Source organism: Homo sapiens, chromosome 3, assembly GCF_000001405.40.
Source record: "Homo sapiens chromosome 3, GRCh38.p14 Primary Assembly".
Classification (NCBI taxonomy): domain Eukaryota; kingdom Metazoa; phylum Chordata; class Mammalia; order Primates; family Hominidae; genus Homo; species Homo sapiens.
Genome location: NC_000003.12, coordinates 98,958,109 through 98,980,207, shown reverse-complemented (window position 1 = coordinate 98,980,207; position 22,099 = coordinate 98,958,109). Strand labels below are relative to the sequence as shown.

Genomic DNA, 22,099 nt, shown 5'->3' with positions numbered 1-22,099 from the left:
GGAAATAACAAAAGTGTTCCTGAATGAAAATAGAAGGGAAACGTTCTAAACAAGAGTGCCCAGGGTCAATCAAATGTGATCTTGTTTTGCTGAGAGGGAGGATATGTAGAGGAATCATGTGGGAATGAGGCTGAGGGAAAGGTGGGATGGCATTTGGAGAGGTTGTAGATTCCAACCTGAAATATTGGTATTAATGTCCTCATCATTTCATTTAAGATTTATAACATCTGCATGAACTAAGCATTTTGGAGTTGAGGAAACCAATTCCCATTAAGAGATCTGGCCAATGTCACACAGCAAGAAAGGGAAAGACAGGATTGAAACCCAATTTCCTGATTCCTAGGTCAGAGTTGACTGCATGCTTCCTAATAGACCCCTTAACAATGAACCAAACTCAAAATTTGGAAGACTGGAATAAGGAAATCTGCTAATATTGGTTACATTGTTTTATAACTTTATCCCATAGCATGTAAGGTGACAAATTTGTTTTGGCAGCATCCTTAGAATTCATGTGAACAATAGGTGTCAAGAAAGTATCATAATGAAATAGAGACAGAAATCACATATGGGTACTAATTATTTAAAAATCACTTAGAAGGTAAGTAAATCATCAAGATTTTCCTTTCTAGAGAAATGATCTAATAGAGGAAAAACATGTTTGTCTTTCCTCGGATGGTTTCCCACAATTTCAAAAGGATTGTTTTGCTTTTAACATATTTTCTCCCATGACATTCTTTGATCTTCAGATTAACTAAAATGTGTGAAGTCCCTGTTTGCTGAGAGCAAAAGAGAACTACAACTGTTCATAACCCTTCCCCTGCTCTCTTCAAGCTATGATAGGATTCAGAGCAAGGAAATATCTGCCAAGACTTGAAAATGCCATCTCTATGTTCTTGCATATGCTGTTCCAGAAGAGGCAGGCCCTTACTCTTCCTGACCTCTACAACCTTCCTTTACCCATAAATAGAATTACTGGATCCCCATTTGCAGACTCCACCTCTTATACCCCATCTCTAAGACCAATTCTGACATTTGGCAGAAAAGATGTAAATCACGTTGATTCTCTATTCTAGCATTCATCATCCTGTGACTCTCGCTCCTAGACAGGTCTTGAACTTGTATCCCAGTCTCTAACTGTGAGCAATTAAAGGACAGCAACTATATCTTATTTTATTTTATGCCCTAGAATCTAATATATTGGTGGCTTACACATAGACAAAAATGTTTGCTGATTGACTGACTGACTGACTGACTGACTGACTGGTGGAATGGAGCTTCTGCCCTGTTGGTAAAACCCAGTTGACACCTGTTTGGTAACTCAATCCCTGTTCTACTCTCTGTTTAAGTTCTTGCTTTGGTTACCTTCTTAGTAGTCTAGCCCGTCTGGGATGTAGGACCATGTCTTACACCTGGAAATGTACTTCACAGGATATGATTCCTTTCCCTGAGCTCCTACTGATAAATTTTTGACAATGGTAGAATTTACCTTGCTTTTTGAATCTCCACATATCATTTCTCCCCAGCTTCACCACAGCCCTGACATACTGACTTGCTGTAATACTGCTTCACTCTGGGTAGGTTGTGTTTGTTTAGGCTATCACATTGGCGAGTATAATACATACTACTAGATGACTTCTGCTAGTCTATTTTTCTGGTGGTACATGGATCACTTGTTTTTATAAAAAGTAATTCACATCTTACCGCAGACTTACTTCATTAATCTATAAAATCTGTTACTATCCAAATTATATCACGGTTCCATGAAGTAATCTGTCAATTGCCAAAAAAAAGAGAGATGAGATAGGTAAAATAAATAAACTTATTGACCCACAGAGAATAATTAAGTCATTTTGAAACTCCTCATTGTCCTTAACAAAATAGGATGTGTATATTTGTGTGTGTTTGTGTGTCTATGTGTGTGTGTATTTAGTTTTTGTTTAAGTTAAGCAACTCTCTCTGACCTCTGTTTTCTTTCTATTGAAACAATAGGTCTGTAAACACATTACTGCAGATTGAAAGTTTTCATCTTAAGCTCCTGCTTCATCTTATTTCTCAAAGAGTTGAACAACCTAACAAGCTGAAGCAAATCATACTCTGGAGAGCTACATTATTTTAATTCACTAATGATTCCATTTTAAGGCATCTGGAGACCCAAGAGTCTTGTACATGACAATTAAAACCTCACAACCAAGACAACACCCCAACCAAAAAAAAAAAAACCTATGCCAGATCATGGTCTAAAAAAACCCACAAAGACTTAGAAAAGACCCCTCAAATTTGGAAAAATCAGAGGAGTTTGTTGTCTTCACAAAATAATTGATGGCATTGTCATCAGTTTTTCAAAATTATTTCTGAGCCACTAAGCAATGAGTTGTTGAAGAGCATTTTCACTTTGTAAGAGGAAGGATGACTCATGGTTTCAAAGACAACTTGGTGCCAAGTTGAGGCAGGGTGGTGATCCCATTTTATCTACCTCAATGCACTTAAACCTTAAACCGATTGTTTAAAAAATACGCTTAATTTTTCACAAAGATTCACATTAGCAGAGGGATCATGAGGTCATGTTTGTCCATCTAACACCACATCCTGCCTCCAGTAATGGCTAGAGAATTCCTCAGAGGAAAGAGTGATGTTCATTTCATAATATTTCTTGTTAGCAATGAGATGAAACACTTAAGTGAAAGTATTTTCTTTTAATATTTCTTCACTACATGAGAAAATATAAGATACTAAATTTAATATTCAAGGACAAAAAAGATATTAGGTCAATTTTCTTCAGTCCAACTCCAAGATCTAGTTAGGTCATTAAATGTTAGAACTGAGAAATTTTAATAATGACTTTGATTTAAAGTTCAGAGGAAGTAAACTTTTAAGTTCATATGCAATTATGGTAGAATATAATTATATTCAAATCGATCTCCATAGCTGATTTCCATAGAAAGTCACAAGAAGAATCAGGGAGAAGGGATGTAAGACCCCCTGGCCGGGCGCGGTGGCTCACGCCTGTAATCGCAGCACTTTGGGAGGCCGAGGCGGGTGAATCACGAGTCAGGAGATCGAGACCATCCTGGCTAACACTGTGAAACCCCGTCTCTACTAAAAAATAAAAAAAATTAGCCAGGCGTGGTGGCAGGCGCCTGTAGTCCCAGCTAGTCGGGAGGCTGAGGCAGGAGAATGGGGTGAACCCGGGAGGCGGAGCTTGAAGTGAGCCGAGACCGCGCCACTGCACTCCAGCCTGGGTGACAGAGCGAGACTCCGTCTCAAAAAAAAAAAAAAAAAAAAATGCCAACGTATAAAACCCCAAGTCAAACCACACACTTGACTCTCTCAAGTCACCCACTTAGTCCTCTTCCAAGTGTATTTTACTTCCTTTCATTCCTGCTCTAAAGCTTTTAAATAAATATTCACTCCTGCTCTAAGAAAATCATAAGAGGAGAAAAGTGAGTCCTATGAACTGAATATCTGTGTCCCCCACCAAAACTCATGTTGAACCCCTACCCCTCAATGTGATAATATTTGGAGGTGAGGCCTTTGGAAGGTAATTAGGTTTAGATGAGGTCTTGAAGGTGAGGCCCACATGATGAGATTATTTTCCTTATAAGAAGAGAGAGGGACAAGAGCTCACTCTATCTCTGCCATGTGAGGACACAGAAAGAAAGCAACTATCTGCATGCTAGGAAGTGGTCCTCACCAGAAGCCAACTACTTGGGCACCCTGATCTCGGACATCCAGCCTCCAGAACTGTGAGAAATTGTTCTTGTTTAAGCCAATAGTCTATGGTATTTTGTTATGGCAGCCCAGGCTGACTAAAACAACGGGTATAATTCAGTACTCAATTGACTACTTATAATTACCATAAGCCTTCCTTCTGGAGTAGATCAGATCTTTTTCTCAGAGGTGGGGAGGGGAAAAAGCCCATTTTGTTTTTTGTCTGTGAGTGCAAAGTGTCCAACGCTGGACTGAGTTTAGGGAAATATTCCAAAGCACTTAGTTTGGCTGCTTGTGACCCACAATGCACAGGAACTAAACAACCACAATCTATAATGCTTTGCCTCTGCACAGATTTTCCAACAGTATTGTATTATTATATATTGTTAAATACTTCGTATTAGTCATTCAGAGCAGCAGAATTTTTTTTTTTAAGTTCTGGAGTACACGTGCAGGATGTGCAAGTTTGCTACATAGGTAAACGTGTGCCATGGTGGTTTGCTGCACCTATCAACCCATCACTTAGGTATTAAGCCCAAGATGCATTAGCTATTTTTCCTAATGCACCCCTTCCCCTGATTCCACCCTCCCAACAGGCCCCAGTGTGTGCTATTCCCTTCCCTGTGTCCATGTGTTCTCATTGTTCAGTTACCACTTATAAGTGAGATTAAATGGTGTTTGGTTTTCTGCTCCTGCATTAGTTTGCTAAAGATAATGGATTCCAGCTCCATCCATGTCCCTGCAAAGAACATGATCTCATTCCCTTTTATGGCTGCATAGTATTCTGTGGCGTGTATGTACCACATTTTCTTTATCCAGTCTATCATTGATGGGCATTTGGGTTGATTCCATATCTTTGCTATTGTGAATAGTCCTGCAGTGAACATATGTGTCCATGTATCTTTGTAATAGAATGATTTCTATTCCCTTAGGTATATACCCAGTAATGGGATTGCTGGGTCAAATGGTATTTCAAGTTCTAGATCTTTGAGGAATCACCACACCATCTTCCACAATGGTTGAACTAATTTACACTCCCATCAACCCTGTAAAATTGTTCCTATTTCTCCACAGCCTCACCAGCATCTGTGGTTTCTTGACTTTTTAATAATCACCATTCTGAATGGTGTGAGATGGTATCTCATTGTGGTTTTAATTTGCATTTCTCTAATGATAGTGATGTTGAACTTTTCTTCATATGTTTGTTGGGAGCATGAATGTCTTCTTTTGAGAAGTGCCTGTTCATGTCCTTTGCCTGGTTTTTAATGGGGTTGGTTTTTTTTTTCTTGTAAATTTGTTTAAGTTCCTTGTAGATTCTGGATATTAGACCTTTGTCAGATGGATAGATTGCAAAAATCTTCTCCCACTCTGTAGGTTGCCTGTTCTCTCTGATGATAGTTTCTTTTGCTGTGCAGAGAAGCTCTTTAGTTTAATTAGAACCCATTTGTCAATTTTTGCTTTGATTGCAATTGCTTTTGGCAATGTCATCATGATATCTTTGCCCATGCCTATGTCCTTAATGGTATTGCCTAGATTTTCTTCTAGGGTTTTTATAGTTTTGGGTTTTATATGTAAGTCTTTAATCCATCTTGAGTTAATTTTTGTATAAGGTGTAAGGAAGGGGTCCAGTTTCAATTTTCTGCATATGGCTAGCCAGTTCTCCCAGAACCATTTGTTAAATAGAAAATCCTTTCCTCATTGCTTGTTTTTAGCAGAATTTTTAAATTATATTTAATGTGATTGATTCTTGGCCTTTGCCCTTGAAAACTGAGCTAACATTTACACTGGCTTCCTATTTGTAATTATGAGATCAGAGGCAACTCACTAACAGATAGTTAGTAGTTCAGTCCCTCTCCAAAGAAGATGGTTTAAAGTGCTGAACAAACATGACACCAATATCTCTCAACTTCTATGGGAACAGGAAATGACTGGGTACCTAAAGGTTAGTTCTCTAAAGACAGAGAGAAAAAGGTGGGTCAAGGACTTCATTTTTTTCTGTATCCCATCCTTTTATTTGTTATTCCAAAAGAAAAGCCTGTAACAACTGGGAGAACAAATTAGGATAAGAGATGATTAAAAAGCTGAACTTAATTAAAAGAATGGACTTTTGAGAAAATAATAAAAGCACTGGTTTAATGACAGCAGAATAGTCACACGTATTGAGAAAGGGAATAGAAATCAAAAAAATGCATAAGATATAACAAAAAGGATAAGATTTATCCATAATAATAGTTAAATTAGTATACTTTGCTACATGCCATTTAGGTACTGCCATTTGAAATCCTCAGAATAACCTCCAGAGGTAGATGCTATGGTTTAAATGTGTTTCCTCCAAAATTCAGGTGTTGCCAATGTGACAATATTAGAAGGTGGAGCCTAAACCTTAAACAGGTGCTTTAAGATTAGGCCATGAGGGCTCCTTCCTTGTGAATGGGATTAGGTGCCCTTATAAAACGCTCTGACTTGGGGAGTTCATCCTTCTATTAGCCTTCTGCCTTTCATCATGTGAGGACACAGCAAGAAGGCTCTCATCAAATGCCAGCACCTTGATCTTGGACTTCCCTGCTTCTAAAACTGTGAGAAATACATTTCTGTTCTTATTAATTAACCAGTTCTTGACCAGATCTTGGGCAAGTTACATAACCTCTCTGAGCCTCATCTTTCTCCATGGTAAAATAAAGATGTCAGTAATTTCTATACCAAGGGATTATTTTGAGGATTAAGTGGGCTGCTTTTGCTAAAGTGTTTAAAATGGTGACTAGTCCATAATAAGTATTAAAATGTTTTAGTTAATTAAATTGTAAAAATCCACATAGGTTAAGGCAAAAAAGTTTAAAACTTCAGTATGAATTGACTACTTATTGCTTTACAATCAATATTGACATTACATGTAGCCCATATTTGCCAACTGCTAATTATTTTGTAAAAAAGTCAACCTAGGCCGGGCGCGGTGGCTCACGCCTGTAATCCCAGAACTTTGGGAGGCCAAGACAGGTGGATCACGAGGTCAGAAGATCGAGACCATCCTGGCTAACACGGTGAAACCCCATCTCTACTAAAAATACAAAAAATTAGCCGGGCGTGGTGGCGGGCGCCTGTAGTCCCAGCTACTCGGGAGGCTGAGGCAGGAGAATGGTGTGAACCCAGGAGGCGGAGCTTGCAGTGAGCTGAGATCTAGCCACTGCACTCCAGCCTGGGCGACAGAGCGAGACTCCATCTCAAAAAAAAAAAAAAGTCAACCTAATCCTTAAAAAAAAAAAAAAAAACTGTTCTGTGAAAGAAATTAAATATGGCCCTTGGCACTCAGTCTTTTTGTTCCCCTTAACAGCACTTCCTTCTTTGCTACCTCTATTTTCAGCCTGGTTCTGCCTGCGTGGTGGTTCCCAGTACCTGCAGGCCTCCTTCATCATCCTACAGCTAAAAATGGCAGTGAAAAACTTATTACCCACATGTACAACTAAGTTTCAGAAGAATTCTCATTGGCCTAAATTGGGTCACATGATAATCCCTGAACCAATCACTGTGACCAGTGAACTGGATGTGTTGATTGGTCAAGCTCGGGTCACACAGACAAGGGGGAAGGAGAGTCCACCCCAGCCATACCACATAAACTGTGAAAGATTATATCTTAAGGAAAATGAAGGTGCTGTTATGAGAAGATGGAGTAACAAAGGCTAGAGACAAGACAATAAATCTTTGCTATAATGACGAATAATATTTTTGTGCCACAAAAAAAAATTTTACTGGGAAATAGAAAACTTCGTTTTCATACTTTGAAAGATAATGACAAACTGTCATTCCAAGGTTAAAAAACGCTAATAATTTTGTTCCTATGGAATTTTCCTTCTGCTAAACTATGTATTATAGTTTTCTTTCCTGTTAAGAAAAGATTCTTTTCATAAACAGAGCAGTTTTAATATGTATTTTTAAAATTTTTGTTTTGTTAACCATTTGCAGATCTTATTTGGAAATTACATTAACTTTGTTCCTTTTAGTTCTCTTATAAAGAAAAGTGAGATAATGAACACATACTCAAGGAAACAGAGAATGACGGACTTGTTGAAAGTGCAGTGAAACCAACCTCCCTCTCTCTCTCTCTCTGTGTGTGTGTGTGTGTGTGTGTGTGTTTAATATTTCCATGATGACTCCTGGGAAAGAACCTCTGGGATTTATATTCCCTTCCAATCCTTCCCTCCCCCAGAGTGAGATCATAGCTCATTCGGTCCTTTTGTGTTTTCTTTACATTGCCCTTCAAAACACATTTAATAATGCATCCAGAAAAACTAAAATTAGGGTAACTAGATGAAGAAAATTTATGTCAAAATTCATATTGGAGAACTGCTGCTTTTTATCTTCTTAAAATCAGAAGGAACCATGATCAAAAGCCACTTTTAATTTAATTTCTTAAAAATCTTAGTACATATACTTAATCAGAAGCCCAAATAAAAGTGATATCTGGAAACTCCCGATATTCTATTCTGTGGTTAATTTTGTCATGCTATGTTATCGGAATTTTTCTGTGCTCCTATAAAGTGCCACTCATCACATTTTAAAGTGTTTATCTTTTATGGTTGCTTACTTCATCCTTTTCCTAATTTGCTGAAATGATTTTTCTAAAGAATTACTTTAGATAAAATTTGGCATTTGCCTTACTCAAAAAATGTAGGCCATTTTATAAGCCATGGTGAATTCTTCACAGCACAAAACTGACATTACATATTAGCTTTGTGTAACGTTAACCTCAGGGACCATGAGATGTACTTAGTATTAATTTGCCCTTATTTCCCTGGCTACCTACTGAACGTGAATTCCCCCATGCTCAGTAGGCTGAGCCCACTCTGTGGGCTGTCCTTCTACTGACTTCCTCTACATCTTATTCTCAAGTGAGATGTAAGAATTTTTTAGCTCAGAGGTGTCAGTCCGCTGACTCTGACATGTGTGTGTTGTAACCCCTGCCATACATCATTCCACAGACAGGGTATAACAAACTGATATTTCTATGAATAGAGGAAAAAACCTCATATACAAAGTCCCCAAACCTCATTCAATTATGTGGGTGATTCAACCAAGCCCAATCTCCAAGTTCACATCTTGGAAAAAAAGGCCCATTATCTTTCTTTATGTTAGAGGACATTATGACTAAACATCATGCTCATCAATGATTATGCTTCTCTGATATGTCAAGAACCTCTGTCTCATAACCATTAGGAAATGTGTCATCTAGTAAATCACCCTAACTTCCTGGGGAGATGAAAGGATCAAAGTAAGAATAATAGTCTGTATGATTCATTGGCATGTAATTTAGAGAAGGTATATTGTTAGGATAATCATTTTTAGTGTTGGAAATCTTGCCTCACTTCTTCAAATTTCTTATTCTGAAATCGAAGTCCTTAGATCACTAGTAAGTTCTTCAACAGAGACTTAAAAATAATGGTGACATTTTCAAAAATTCTATTGCCATGTTCTCAAAGCACTTTTATTTGCAATAAAGGGCTAAAATGTGAAAGGTCATTCTAATGTATTCTTTTTTAAAATGAAGCATCAATGGAGATTTGATTTTTATTTATTTTTTATTATTATTTATTTATTTATTTATTTTTGAGACGGAGTCTCACTCTGTCACCCAGGCTAGAGTGCACTGGCGTGATCTCGGCTCACTGCAACCTCTGTCCCACCCAGGTTCAAGCTATTCTTCTGCCTCAGCCTCCCCAGTAGCTGGGACTACAGATGCACACCACCACACCTGGCTAATTTTTGTATTTTTAGTAGAGACAGGGTTTCACCATATTGGCCAGACTGGTCTCGAACTCCTGACCTCATGATCTGCCCGCCTTAGCCTCCCAAAGTGCTGGGATTACAGGCCTGAGCCACCATGCCTGGCGGAGATTTGATTTTTTATCACCATACAATTAATAACTTGGGTGCTACTGTGAAAACAAGCAATGTCTTTGAGTGTGCTAATAAGTCTCAGTAATAAGTTTTATGCAAAGGCAGCTAAAAAAATGGGAGTGTATGAATGCTGTAGGAAGTGAAGAGGAAAGAAATGAGAGGAAAATGAAGGGAAGGGAAAGGAGGAAATGGCAGTGAGAAGATGTAGATGTAGCCTACGTAAAATATCCTTGACAGGTTAAATAAGCAACTGTTCACAAAGGGAGTAAGTGCCTGACCCATCTACACAGAAAATGTGACAGAGTTCTCAGACCTCTGGATAGATGTGAGGAGCATTTTTCAGTTTAGACTAAAGGTAGAGGTTTCTCTAGTCCAAATCTAAGTATAATAAAACCTTCCCATTGCCATAATTCGAAACAAAAAACAGTCATACCTACTTAGCTTCCTTCCTGAATAACTCAATTCAAAAACCATTAGGTGGGGTCTTAGTGAGCTACTAGTCCATATGGGGTAGGAGAGAAGTGAGACTACAGTGGCCTACCACTGGGTAAGAGTCCCCATGAAGGGGTAGCAGTAGCTGAGCATAGGACCAGGAGATTAAGAACACAGGTTGAGGCCGGGTGCGGTGGCTCACGCCTGTAATCCCAGCACTTTGAGAGGTTGAGGTGGGCGGATCACGAGGTCAGGAGATCGAAACCATCCTGGCTAACACGGTGAATCGCCGTCTCTACTAAAAATACAAAAAATCAGCCGGGCATGGTGGCGGGCGCCTGCAGTCCCAGCTACTCGGGAGGCTGAGGCAGGAGAATGGTGTGAACCCAGGAGGCGGAGCTTGCAGTGAGCCGAGATCGTGCCACTGCACTCCAGCCTGGGCGACAGAGCGAGACTCCTTCTCAAAAAAATAAATAAATAAGTAAGAATACAGGTTGAGCACCCCAAATCCAAAAGTAAGAAATCTAAAATGCTCCAAAATTCTGAAGTTTTTAGTGTCAACATGATGCTCAAAAGAAATGCTCATTAGAGGATTTCAGATTTTGAATTTTCAGACTTCAGATGCTCACCTAGTAAGTATAATGCAAATATTTCACAATCCAAAAAAATCTGAAATCTGAAACACTTCTGGTCCCAGGCATTTTGAATAAGAGATACTCAACTTGTATATGAGCATAATGGGAACCAGCTTTCTCATTCTCATGAAAAAAGCAAAAACTGGAATGAATCCTGTGGTGTTGGATTGGATTTCAAGGTATTGATATGAACTCATAGTTTTTATCAATTGATAGATAAGTGCATAGATAGAATGATATCAAAATAGAGATAAAGAAATAAATATAAATATTGTGGTAGCCTGTCTCTAAAATGGTCCCCAGTTTTTCTTGCCTCGGAAGGTATTCAGACTTCTGTGTAGACACCTCCCATACTAAACAGTGTCAACCTGTGTAAGCAATAGTATACTGTGAAAATTACAAAGTGAGACTTTGAGACCAGGCCATAAAAGACATTCTGGCTTCTTCCTGGCTATCCTTCTGGGGGAAACCAGACACCATTTTATGAGATACTCAAGCAGCTCTATGGAGAGGTCAATGACATGAGGAAATGAGGCCTCTAGCCAATAACCAGCCCTAACTCTTCGGACATGTGAGTGAGCCACCTTGAACGTGGATCCCCCAGCCTCAGACAAGCCTTAGGCCACATCTTGACTGAAATTTTACGAGAGTCATGGAGCCAGAACCATGCCCTCTGAATTCTGGATAAAACTGCGAAGTAATTAATGTCCATTGTTTTAAGCACTAAATTTTGAGGTAGTTCTTTTTGTACCTCAAAAAAAAAATTTTGTACCTCAAGAAAAAATAGATAGTTAATGTACTGGTGAATGTATGTATGTATAAAAAACACTTGCCTACATATATTACCTAGCTCTATCCATTGACAGACTCTGGATACAATAACACTTCAAAACCAGAGAGCATACTGGTGCCAGATCTTGATTTCTAAAAACAATTCTTCACTAAAAGGAACCAGTGCTCCTCAGAGAAATGGCTAACTTCAGGGTGAGAGCAGGAAAAATTAAAGATGAGTCTGAATGTTTTATTTAATATATCAAGGAAATGGTCAAACAATTATGAAAGCCAGTTTGGAATAGCTCCCACTGGTGAATCTGGGACAATCCAAGCCTCAGAATGAATAATAACCTACTGAATAAAACAGGAATTTATACCTCCATACTGATATGAATAAATAAGTAAAAAAGTAAATTGGAAGGAATAAATTATTGCAGTAGAATGCCAACTAATAAATGCAGAAGAAATGGTAAAATTAGAAGATAACTAGCGGGCAACCATCATAGTAATAATTAATTCAGCCAAAAAATGTCAACAGATACTAAAATTACCAAATGTAAGTGTGATGAGAAATGAAATGTTACATAGGCTCAACTATTCACAAAATGCTTATTAAATATAAGGAAGAAAGGAGTGACTGTACAGTGGAGAAATCTGGCAGACACCACCTAAACAAATTATTAAAGTTAACATCATCAGTAATGGGACAAATTGAAAGCATGTGCCATCTAATTGGATGCAATGAGAAGAACACAAAATCATTACTGTAATATTCCAGCCCTAGGAGAAGCACAACTTGAATCTAATAATAAGGAAACATTAGATAAATCAGATTTGGTGACTAATGTGATAAAAAGTCCAGGTCATGAAAGTGAAAAGAGACTGAGGAACTGTTCCTGATAAAGGAGACAATAGAAACACAACAGCTGACTGTAACATGTGATCTTGGACTAAATTATTTTTAAGGAAATTATTGGGATAATTGGCAAAAAGTTGAATGATACTTGTGATTTAGGTAATAATAGTGAATCCTTCTTAATTTCCTGATTTGATAATGTTACTGTGGTTATACAGAAAACTACTTACTTGTATAAAATATTCACTAAGGTATTTGAAGTTATGGGGCTTCTTACCAACAACTTAGCTCAAATTGTTCAGAATCAAAAAGCTCTTAAATCTAGCTTTGCTAATTCTTTGTAGGTTTTTTATTATTTTAAAATAAAAGGACAAAAGAAACACATTACAGATGTGAAAATTACAGCACTCATTTGGCGGAGAACATAAAGGCAGAGAACAAAAAGACACATCATGCTAAATAGAAAAAATACACAGAAAGGGCATGCATAGCAGGCATCATATACCCATAAAGTGCCAACAACAACAGCAACAATAAAAGAGAAAGTAGGAACATGGAGAGCAGATCCAAACGGAGACATCCACTGAATTACTTACCATCCCAAGAGAAAACAGATGGTGTAGTTCAAAATAGAATAATTTCATGAGGGTTTATTTACAAAGAGACTATTTGCAAAGATGTGGATTATGGGAACCATACATCCAAGGATTAGTAATAGCCTAATACCTAAGCTATTAAGAGGGGCAGACATAGTACAGGATCCACAGAGTCATGCCTACTGCCTTACGGGAGTCAATATTCTGTTGGAGAGACACAGCCAGCAGGAAGAGACCTTGCAGCAAGGGTGCCGGGGCCTCATTCCCCTTCCCTCCAATCTACTGCCAGGGCTCCCCATTGGCAAACTGGGCAAACTCAGTAGGAATGAAAAGGGTGTGGGAACTTATGATGTGGTCCACATGAGTCAACCTGTCTGGCAGAAAACAAGATATAGAAGAGCTGAGAGTGATTGAGGAGGCAAGAGAAGTGATCTGACCTATCTGCCTTGAATTATATGAAATTAAGAACAGCAACGCTTAGTTCTTTAAAAATAACCATACATAAGAACTCTATTTAAAATGTTTGAGAAAATTACTTTGTAAAGACTGAAAATTCCTTTAAATTGCAAAAAAAAAAAAGTGAGCCAAATCAAAACAACAACAAAAAACCATTTGGTACACTGGTGGGTCATCAACAGCAAGGATCACAAAAGTCATTGGATGATTCAAAATGGTACAACAAAAGAGAAGAGAACCAGGAAAGCAACAGGAAGCAACTATTAGTCACAGTTCTTTCAAGCACAACCTACCTACAAGTTTTGCCAGTTCCCTAGTCAGAAGAATTGAAAGTAAATATCAAAATTATTGGTAAACATAATTTCGCTTGTTATCTATTTAAACTGCAAAGAGTTCTCATAACTTTCTGCAGATTCAATCTTTCCATTTTATCTTTTCGTTGCTGTATAAAGTTCAAAAGCCGAAATCTCTTTGGATTGAGTAAATCCCATATTTAAATATCAGTCAATATGTTTTTTACCCCAAATTGGCAGGTAAAAGGCTGTTATTAAAAAATGTTGCCTTGGCCAGGCACAGTGGCTGATGCCTGTAATCCCAGCACTTTGGGAGGCCGAGGCGGGTGGATCACCTGAGGTCAGGAGTTCGAGACCAGTCTCAACATGGAGAAACCCCATCTCTACTAAAAATACAACAGTAGCCGGGCATGGTGGTGCATGCCTGTAATCCCAGCTACTTGGGAGGCTGAGGCAGGAGAATTGCTTGAACCTGGGAGGCGGAGGTTGCAGTGAGCCGAGATCGCGCCATTGCACTCCAACCTGGGCAACGAGAGCGAAACTCCATCTCAAAAAAAAAAAAAAAAGTTGCCTTAACCAAGCTTCTTCTTAGATGATTATGCTTAAACTCCTGTACAGAGCAGACAAGTGTAGAGAATCAATACAGTTTGAAATCAGATAAGTCTGTCTCATGGGTTTCCTCAAGTTTAAAAGCACTTAATAAAAACAAGCAAAAGTTATGGAAAAAAATGTTCTATGATAACAGTACCTCTGGTGTTTATGGTGACATTAAAAGAGGAGTTACAACCATCATATTTTATTATATTTTTATTTTCATAACAACACTATGGAAGACCCAGCACCTATTAGCCCCATTTTGCAGATGAATAAATTAACTAAATTTCCGCAGCTAGTAAGTAGCAGAGACAGAATTTAAACCTAGATTTCCTGAATACAAGCCTAGTGAATTTTCCATTATAATTCTACCTATAATTAAATCCAAATGTAAAATCAAGCCACTTTATATTTCCTAAGAATACTCTAATATGCATTGTGCTGTTATCATAATGAAGAAATAATTTTCTTCCCCAAAAAAATGAAGGAAGGATAATATTGAGGCAAGAAGGAAAGGAGAGAGAAAATGAGAAAGAAAGAGAAGTAATGAAAGGGTTTGTATTTGAAGGACATTCTGCTAAAATTCACTTGCAGAGAGAATGTTGCTTTGAAAGTAAGGCTAAGAGAAGCCATGGGTGGCCCTGCTCATATTCTTCATTATAGCTCCAGGTTGTGAATGGCTACTGGCTTGAATTCTATCCAGGGAACTATTAGAAAATGTGTTTATATTGCTTGGGAACATCATTGCTAATAAGAGATACCAAGGTACACAAGGGAAATAGTAGTAAAACAAGCAGAGTAGTCACTTAAAAATCCCTTCAACAGTCATTTGTTGAGTCCCTAGTATTAAAGAAACAAAGATAAAAACATGTAATGTCAGTCACAGTGGAATGAAATCTGTTTTGCTGATAAACAGCCATGCACATCCCAGAGACTTGAAACTGGGATTTATTTCACATTCTCACTACATGTCTGTGTGATTTGGCGGAGTTTCTGCTTCCTGTCATGCTCACTTTTGTCCCCAGGCTAATGCAGCAACCTCTATCGTGGAACACCACTGGTCATTGAGGCAGATGGAAAGATAGTACTCAACAAATTGCTTAGGGAGTCCACCTGGAAGAAATACATTTCATTCTGTTCACATTTCATTGCCCAGAGTAACTAATGACCAAAGCACAAGACCAATCCACCTCCAGGAAAATAGAGAAGTACAGCATGCTGGAGAAAAGAACTGGAAATGTTTGTTGAACATAACTAATTACTACCTGATACTTTCCTTCCAGGATGTTCCTGGCTAATGCTTAGTCTTCCTCTTACATCTTTATATTCCCACAGTAGGTTCCTGGGACAGAGACAGGACTCACCGACTATTCCATATGCTCCCTGTGTTTCCCAACCTCGCTTGCAATTAGGTTACAGTCCGGTGACTAGTTAAGGCAAATAGACCACGAATAGAAAAGATATTTGTTTATAACTCCAGGAGTTGGAAATTAGTGTGTAACTTCATCCTTCTCTTCCTGTGCCAGGGGGACCCCAAACTCCAGGTGTTCCCAGGGGTGTAGCTCCATTAGCCTGGTTTCCTGAATAACTTCATGGATCATCATGTCCACCAACTCCTCTGAGCATGCAGTGTAAACAAGATCAAAGCTTTGTTGTATAAGCACTGATATTTCAGAATGTCTGTTGCGCCAGCTAGCATTAATTATTCTAATAAGAATACTAGTACCTCAATGTGAAGTGTTGGTATAAAAACAACCTAAAACATATGAATTTGCTTAGTGGGTAATGAGCATCAAGGAAACTGATATCAGCAGCTGAAATGATAATGAGAATGTGTTTTTCAGTGGTGAAATATTTGACAAAACCATCATATGCAGTGACTTGGAAGTCAGCTCATATGGGTATTGAGCCAGGAGTTTAGAGACAAGGGTAGAAAATAGAACTTTAGTACTGTGCATTGGTGGCTCTTATATAAACTCAGAAAGAATTGACCGTGGGAAAGCGGATTGGAAGATAATTTGTAGGGAAAGACCAGAAATTCAGGGACTTTCAATCTGGAAAGTCAACTGCTTCTATACCTCAAAAGTAAGAAACAGGACTAAAAAGGCTTTGAGTGACAAATACCCAAGAAAAACTTTCAGTTCATTCAAGTGTTTCTAGGCAAATTCAGATTAAGGGTATAATCTTCCCATTTAAGCTCAACAGCCCCAAGATAGCCTCAAAAAAGCAAGGCGCATGTATGAAGAAGCACAGAAATAAAGCAGATCTGAAAATCCTATTTTGAAAGCAGCTTTTAGTGTGATTACTGGTATGTAAAATTTACTTGTGATATACAGATCAAAAGCCTCTTGATAGATTGCATTGCCAAAAATACTGGAACATGACCAAAAAAGCATTTGATTGAAAGCAAGACGAACCTCCAAGCTGTTTTCATGTGAATGGCCTGAGAAAGCTATTCAGCATCCAAGGAGGGCATGTACTTCCAATATCCACTTCAGATCCACTGAAGAAGAAAAAAAGATACATCCTGCAAACATCTATAGACAAAGAGATGCCTCCTATAAACAGCATCACAACCTAAAGATTTAAGGAAGCTCTCTCAACCCAGAGTCTACTCCCAATGTCTACTCAGTTGGATTTCAAAACTTCCACAGCCTAATGACCACTGGCTGTCTCCCTTCTCCCCCTCCCCAAATCAGAGTGGGTTCTGCTGTTATCCTGTCCTTTTTGTTCATCATTGTCTACTGGGGAGTGGGGATACTGGAAGAAAACCTATCTTTGTGGTTGTTAAGTGTCTCAATAAGGGAAGCCTCATCTGGACCTAATGGGCAGACTACATTAGGATGTATACACACTCTGAGTCACTGCTGAGGTAATATAAAGGAAGAGAAAAAGTCTCTTCATATTTTAATGATTTGAACTCTTTTGCTATTAGAATTTAAAGCTTTCATTTTTAGATTTTTAATAATTTTGCTGGATTTTGAGAGGAAATTTAGAGATGGTAGAGAACCAAGGTGGATTATTCCTAACTTTGCATCACCAATGAATACTGAGGGAAATGTTTGTATAGCATAAAAGCTGATATTTCAGATCCCAGACTACTGCTAGATGGCTGCACCCCCGCATTATTATATCCTTAGGTAAGGGGTAATTCTATTAGTTAAGATTCCTTTGGTTGCATATGACCACAACCCAACAAAAATTAATGGAAAGAAAAAGAGAAATGAGTTGACTCATCTGGTTAGGAAGCACACTGAGATAGATCATTAACTTGGAAGAGAAGCCACAGAGACCAGTGATTCAGGGACTGAGTCAGGGGCCTCAGGAATACCATGATGCTGTTGTTCTCTGCTTCTCTTTGTATTTGGCTTCTTTATTTTCTACTCTTTGCAGTCTCACTCCATGCATGAATTGACGGCCACTGACAATTCAGATCCACATTCTTACAGGTTGCATGCTAAGCATGAGAAAGTCATTCCTATCTACCTCCCACTGTAAGGTTCTGGAGAATAATTCTGATTGGCCTTGTTTAGTTGATATGTACACTGCTGTCAATAATAACTGTTCTAGTGGATGTGGTACCGCGACTGGCTCAGCCTGATTCATGTATTCAACTATGTGCCTGGGAAGGTAGAGGATAGGAATGCAATGATCAATATGTATACCAGGACCATGTAAAGAAGAGAGGAGTCTGCCAAAGGAAAGGAAATATTGTAGCTATGAAAAGGAAGATGGAAAAGTTGAGTGGGCAGAAAAAAGAGCTACCAGATTCTTCTAAGATAACCTAGATACAAATAGCAATGCCCACCATGGAATGTACCAAAAAAAAAGCATACCTGTGAGCAGAGGCACACACTTTTCAATCTAGGGCAGCCTGACTTTAATCAGTTCTAATGATTATCCAGACTCTTTGTCATGGTTTCCTCATTTCTCCATTTTGAACTACTCCCACTCTTCAGTAGAATACATGGATCCCCTGGGACAAGTAGTATGATTATAATGATATTCTACTGCCTCCTTCTCATTCTCTTCCAGGCTTGGGAGTGACCCCAGATTGAGTTCACATGCTCTCTAAAGCACTAAAAACCACAATATTTATATAAGCCCATATACATTTTTATTAAATGACTAAATGCTTTGTAATTACCAAATACTTTCTAATACCTCCACCAGATTAATGTTTCTACCATGTCACTTTATGTCACCTCTTAATAGAAAAACACATTCTATTTTCTTTAAATCCTCCTGAATAAACTACTAAGTCCAGGCTTTGAAAGCATTCAATAATGTAACTCACAAATATCTTTGCAGTCTGATCTTTTACTATTCTTTTATTCATGCCTTCTTTTTCATACAAAACAGACTACTCCCTGTCTCTAGGATACATATCATTTTTTCATCCCTCCCCATTTATTTACTAAGTCAACATATATTGGTTGCTTATTTATGTGCCAGATACTATTATAAGTCACGGGGATGCAAAGATGAAAACATGAACCCTTTCTTCAAAGAGTTTGCTCTAACTATAGAAGAAACATACATTGTAGATAATTACAATTCTCTGTGAAGTATATTGTAAGTGAGGTATTAAGAAATGGTTAGGCCAAATGATTGCATAAACAGTGGGGGCAAGTTTCTGCTTGAATGTGATATTTAAGCTGAGGCTTGAAAGATAAGCATAAGTTTGCCAGGTGGGAGAACAGCAAAGGGATATGCAAACGTCCAACAATAGAAAGATAGGTAGTTTGTTCAGGAAAATACAACTTTAGTAAAAGCTGCCTCAATTAACACCCACTAAAACAACACTCAAGGTTAAACAGGCACTACATGCCTGTATAAATATATTGGCTAACATGTAGAACATGCTAAATGCTTATAGCTAAAAGATTATTTTCCTGCTTACCCATGGGATTATATAGCCACTAGTTAAATTTTATGTTTGTTAAGAGTCAGTGGTATCTGCCAAAATCTGTTGTATTTGTTGTTATAATTACACAATTGAATTGCTATATAAACGAAGGTTTCTTAACCTAAGCACTATTGACATTTGGGCCAGATAATTCCTTGTTGTGAGGGGAGGCTATTCTGTGCTTTATAGAATATTTAACAGCATCCCTGACCTCTCCTGTTGGATGCAGGGAGCACCCTCCCCTGAGCTGTGACAACTGAAAATGTCTCCAGATGTTGCACTGTTAATGTTCTCTGGGGTACAAAATCACCACTGGTAGAATTGGGCCAGGTTATGAAGGGCCTTGTAAATGGACTTGATCAATACAATGAGAAGCTACTGAATGTGTTTTAGTAGTAGAATAACATATGTGGCAATATATTTCCAAGGATAAATCAGAAGAGGCAAGACGATGAGACTTGTTAAGGAGGCAGTTGCCATAGAACAGGTAAGAAGTAACTAGGGTATTGATGAATACAGTAACAGTGATGGTCAAAAGCAAATCAATGAGAGATTTTAGATGCAAATAAGTGTCATTCACTCTATTGAGATTCTCCCCCACTTTCTCTTCCTTTCTGTGTTCAGCTATTAAATCCAATCCAACCTCAAGGCACAACTAAAATCTCATGTCCCCAGATCAAGCCACCGGAAATGGCATGTCCTCCTCTGAATCTTGTAGCTCATTATTTGAGCTTCTCTTAGGGCAGTTCATGATATTATTAATTTAATACCTACATTATAAACTAAATTTTGAGTCTAGATTATAATTTTGAGTCTGGGTTATTTACAGGACCATATTTTGCTCATATTTGCTTTTAAACTCAGTGCCCAATAATATGCTTTTTATATAGCAGATGACAAATATTTATTGAGCATATTGTAGAATTCTAGGCCGAATTGCTTCAATACATTTATGTGTCCCTTGAATTCTTGTAGCCATAAGTATTGGGGGTGGAGGAGAGCCTGGGCTCAATTTAACCAGCACTGCATTCTTTATAGGTCTCTTTCCCACAGTTTCTATCTGCTCACATCACTGGAAGAAGTTTATATTCATTAGTCTTATAGCTTTTCTTATAAACCGCTGCTTAGAGAAATTCAGCAAAACAACATCCAAAAGCCCCTGTCAAAAAAAAAAAAGTAACCGAAGCCTAGATGGTATCAAAGTAGTAAACAATTATATCAAACAATATTAAGCACTATGTGAATTAATGTTAAACAAAAACACCCATCTGGATTTTTCTCAAAGTAAGAGTTTTTCTGCCCGAATAAACCACCTAAACCATCATTCACTGTATTATCTCAACTATATTTTTATTCAGTTGCTCATAGCTATCCTATTAGTTTGTACCAACAAGTGACAAGAAATATTAATTGTGAACAAATCTTTAATTGCATACTTGAGATTTATCTCTAGTGATAGAGGTTGGGACAAATATGTAAAATCAAACTGAACCTCTGTCACGTTGTATACCTGAATTGTTTTTATCCATGAAAATGGCCAATTATATTATGTGTTTCATACTTTATTGACAAAGCAGGAAGTGCAAAAAATGCCAAGGTCTCTGCTAATAAAGATCTTACGGGGGAGACAAAGGAAACAAATGTCACTTTTATCAGTGGCAGCATGGGGAGTGGGGTGGCTGGCTTTTCAGTTACATCTGGTCCCAGCTCCTCGTTCCATTTTAAATTATGGACCACCTTGAGGTTTTATATATGCTGTCCCTATTCCAAACCAGATAACTCAGACATAGTATCTGTCAGATTTTCACAAAATTAACCCCACTCACACAATGCCTTTGTGCATATTGCACAGTGTACCAATGGGTTAAGGTGACAGCAATGCTAAAAACAATTACAACTGAATATTAGATACACAGATTTAAGAGTCTCTTAGCCATTTCCATAAACTTAGCTTACATCTCCAACCTCTAGCATTCCCTTCAATCACCTGGGAGAAAAGTATCTTATTAGAGTCAACCCTACCATGGGTAGGGAATCCATCTGTTATTATTATCCATACTTAAGAAATAAGAAAACTTGTGGGCAAGGAAGTTAAATGAGTTGTCTGAGGTCACAATTGTGACAGACTAGCCTCAAACTCAGGAATTCTGACACCCCATACACTTCTCTCTCTACCACAACTTCATGTTCTCTAGTTTCATTACATGGTCCTAATGTCAATTGATCCTCTGAGAAGACCTGTCTCTTCTCAATAAAATCTCTTTTTTTTTCTTGATTTTATCTGAATGTTCCCAATACCACTGGTTCATCAAATGCCTGGTTTTTACATCTATTATGCTAGTAAACAGTTATTCTATAGGCAGTAACTGTTAATCTTGTCAATGTAAATGATCAAATTGGAAATTTCAAAATAAAAATAAAAACAAACGTCTAACAAAATAAAATTAACTGGCAAGCTAATACAACTGTCTTTAAAACACCCCACAATTGATGTCATTGAGTATGGAAGGTCTTCTGGCAAAACAGCCCTCAAGCCAAAGGCTACTAAAGGAGTAGGTCTATGTAGCACTATATAGTATCCCTTACCTGAGCCCCACTCTTTACCTACGGAGAGAGAAGGCTCTGCATGATACAAATTGTATCAAGAAAAAGCCTTCCCAACATTTATGTGAACAACATGAAATGCTTCTTCATATTTTGTGCAACATCCCTCTGATGGGAAGGATCCCAGATATCAACCCTAAGGAGGCTGTTATATTTCCCAAAGTTACAATGATTATCTCTTCCAAGGAGTCTAAGCAAAAGCATTTTTGCTTTCCAAACTTTTAGGTCAAAAGGTCTTTCAAAGACATAACACTAGGCAACTTTTGACAAGAAACTTACATACTTTGACTACAAATAGTATTTTGCAAACAATATAAGTAAAAGCAAGTTGGTCAACATTATAATTTAATCTT

At 38.0% G+C, this 22,099-nt stretch overlaps 1 long non-coding RNA gene across 7 annotated transcripts in view; it reads right to left on the bottom strand.

The window, feature by feature from the left end:
* LINC00973 (long intergenic non-protein coding RNA 973) overlaps positions 1–22,099 on the bottom strand; it is an 84,276-nt gene that overhangs the window by 18,634 nt on the left and 43,543 nt on the right. For 2 of the 7 annotated variants that reach the window (NR_186668.1, NR_186669.1), the window contains exon 1: positions 18,070–18,281. The exons of 3 other annotated variants lie outside the window; for them this stretch is intronic. This is a non-coding gene — a long non-coding RNA (long intergenic non-protein coding RNA 973). Of the gene's footprint in view, positions 1–12,890; positions 13,125–16,650; positions 16,737–18,069; positions 18,282–22,099 lie in introns of those variants that run through there. 2 more of the 7 variants (NR_186670.1, NR_186671.1) reach the window with 2 other exon arrangements.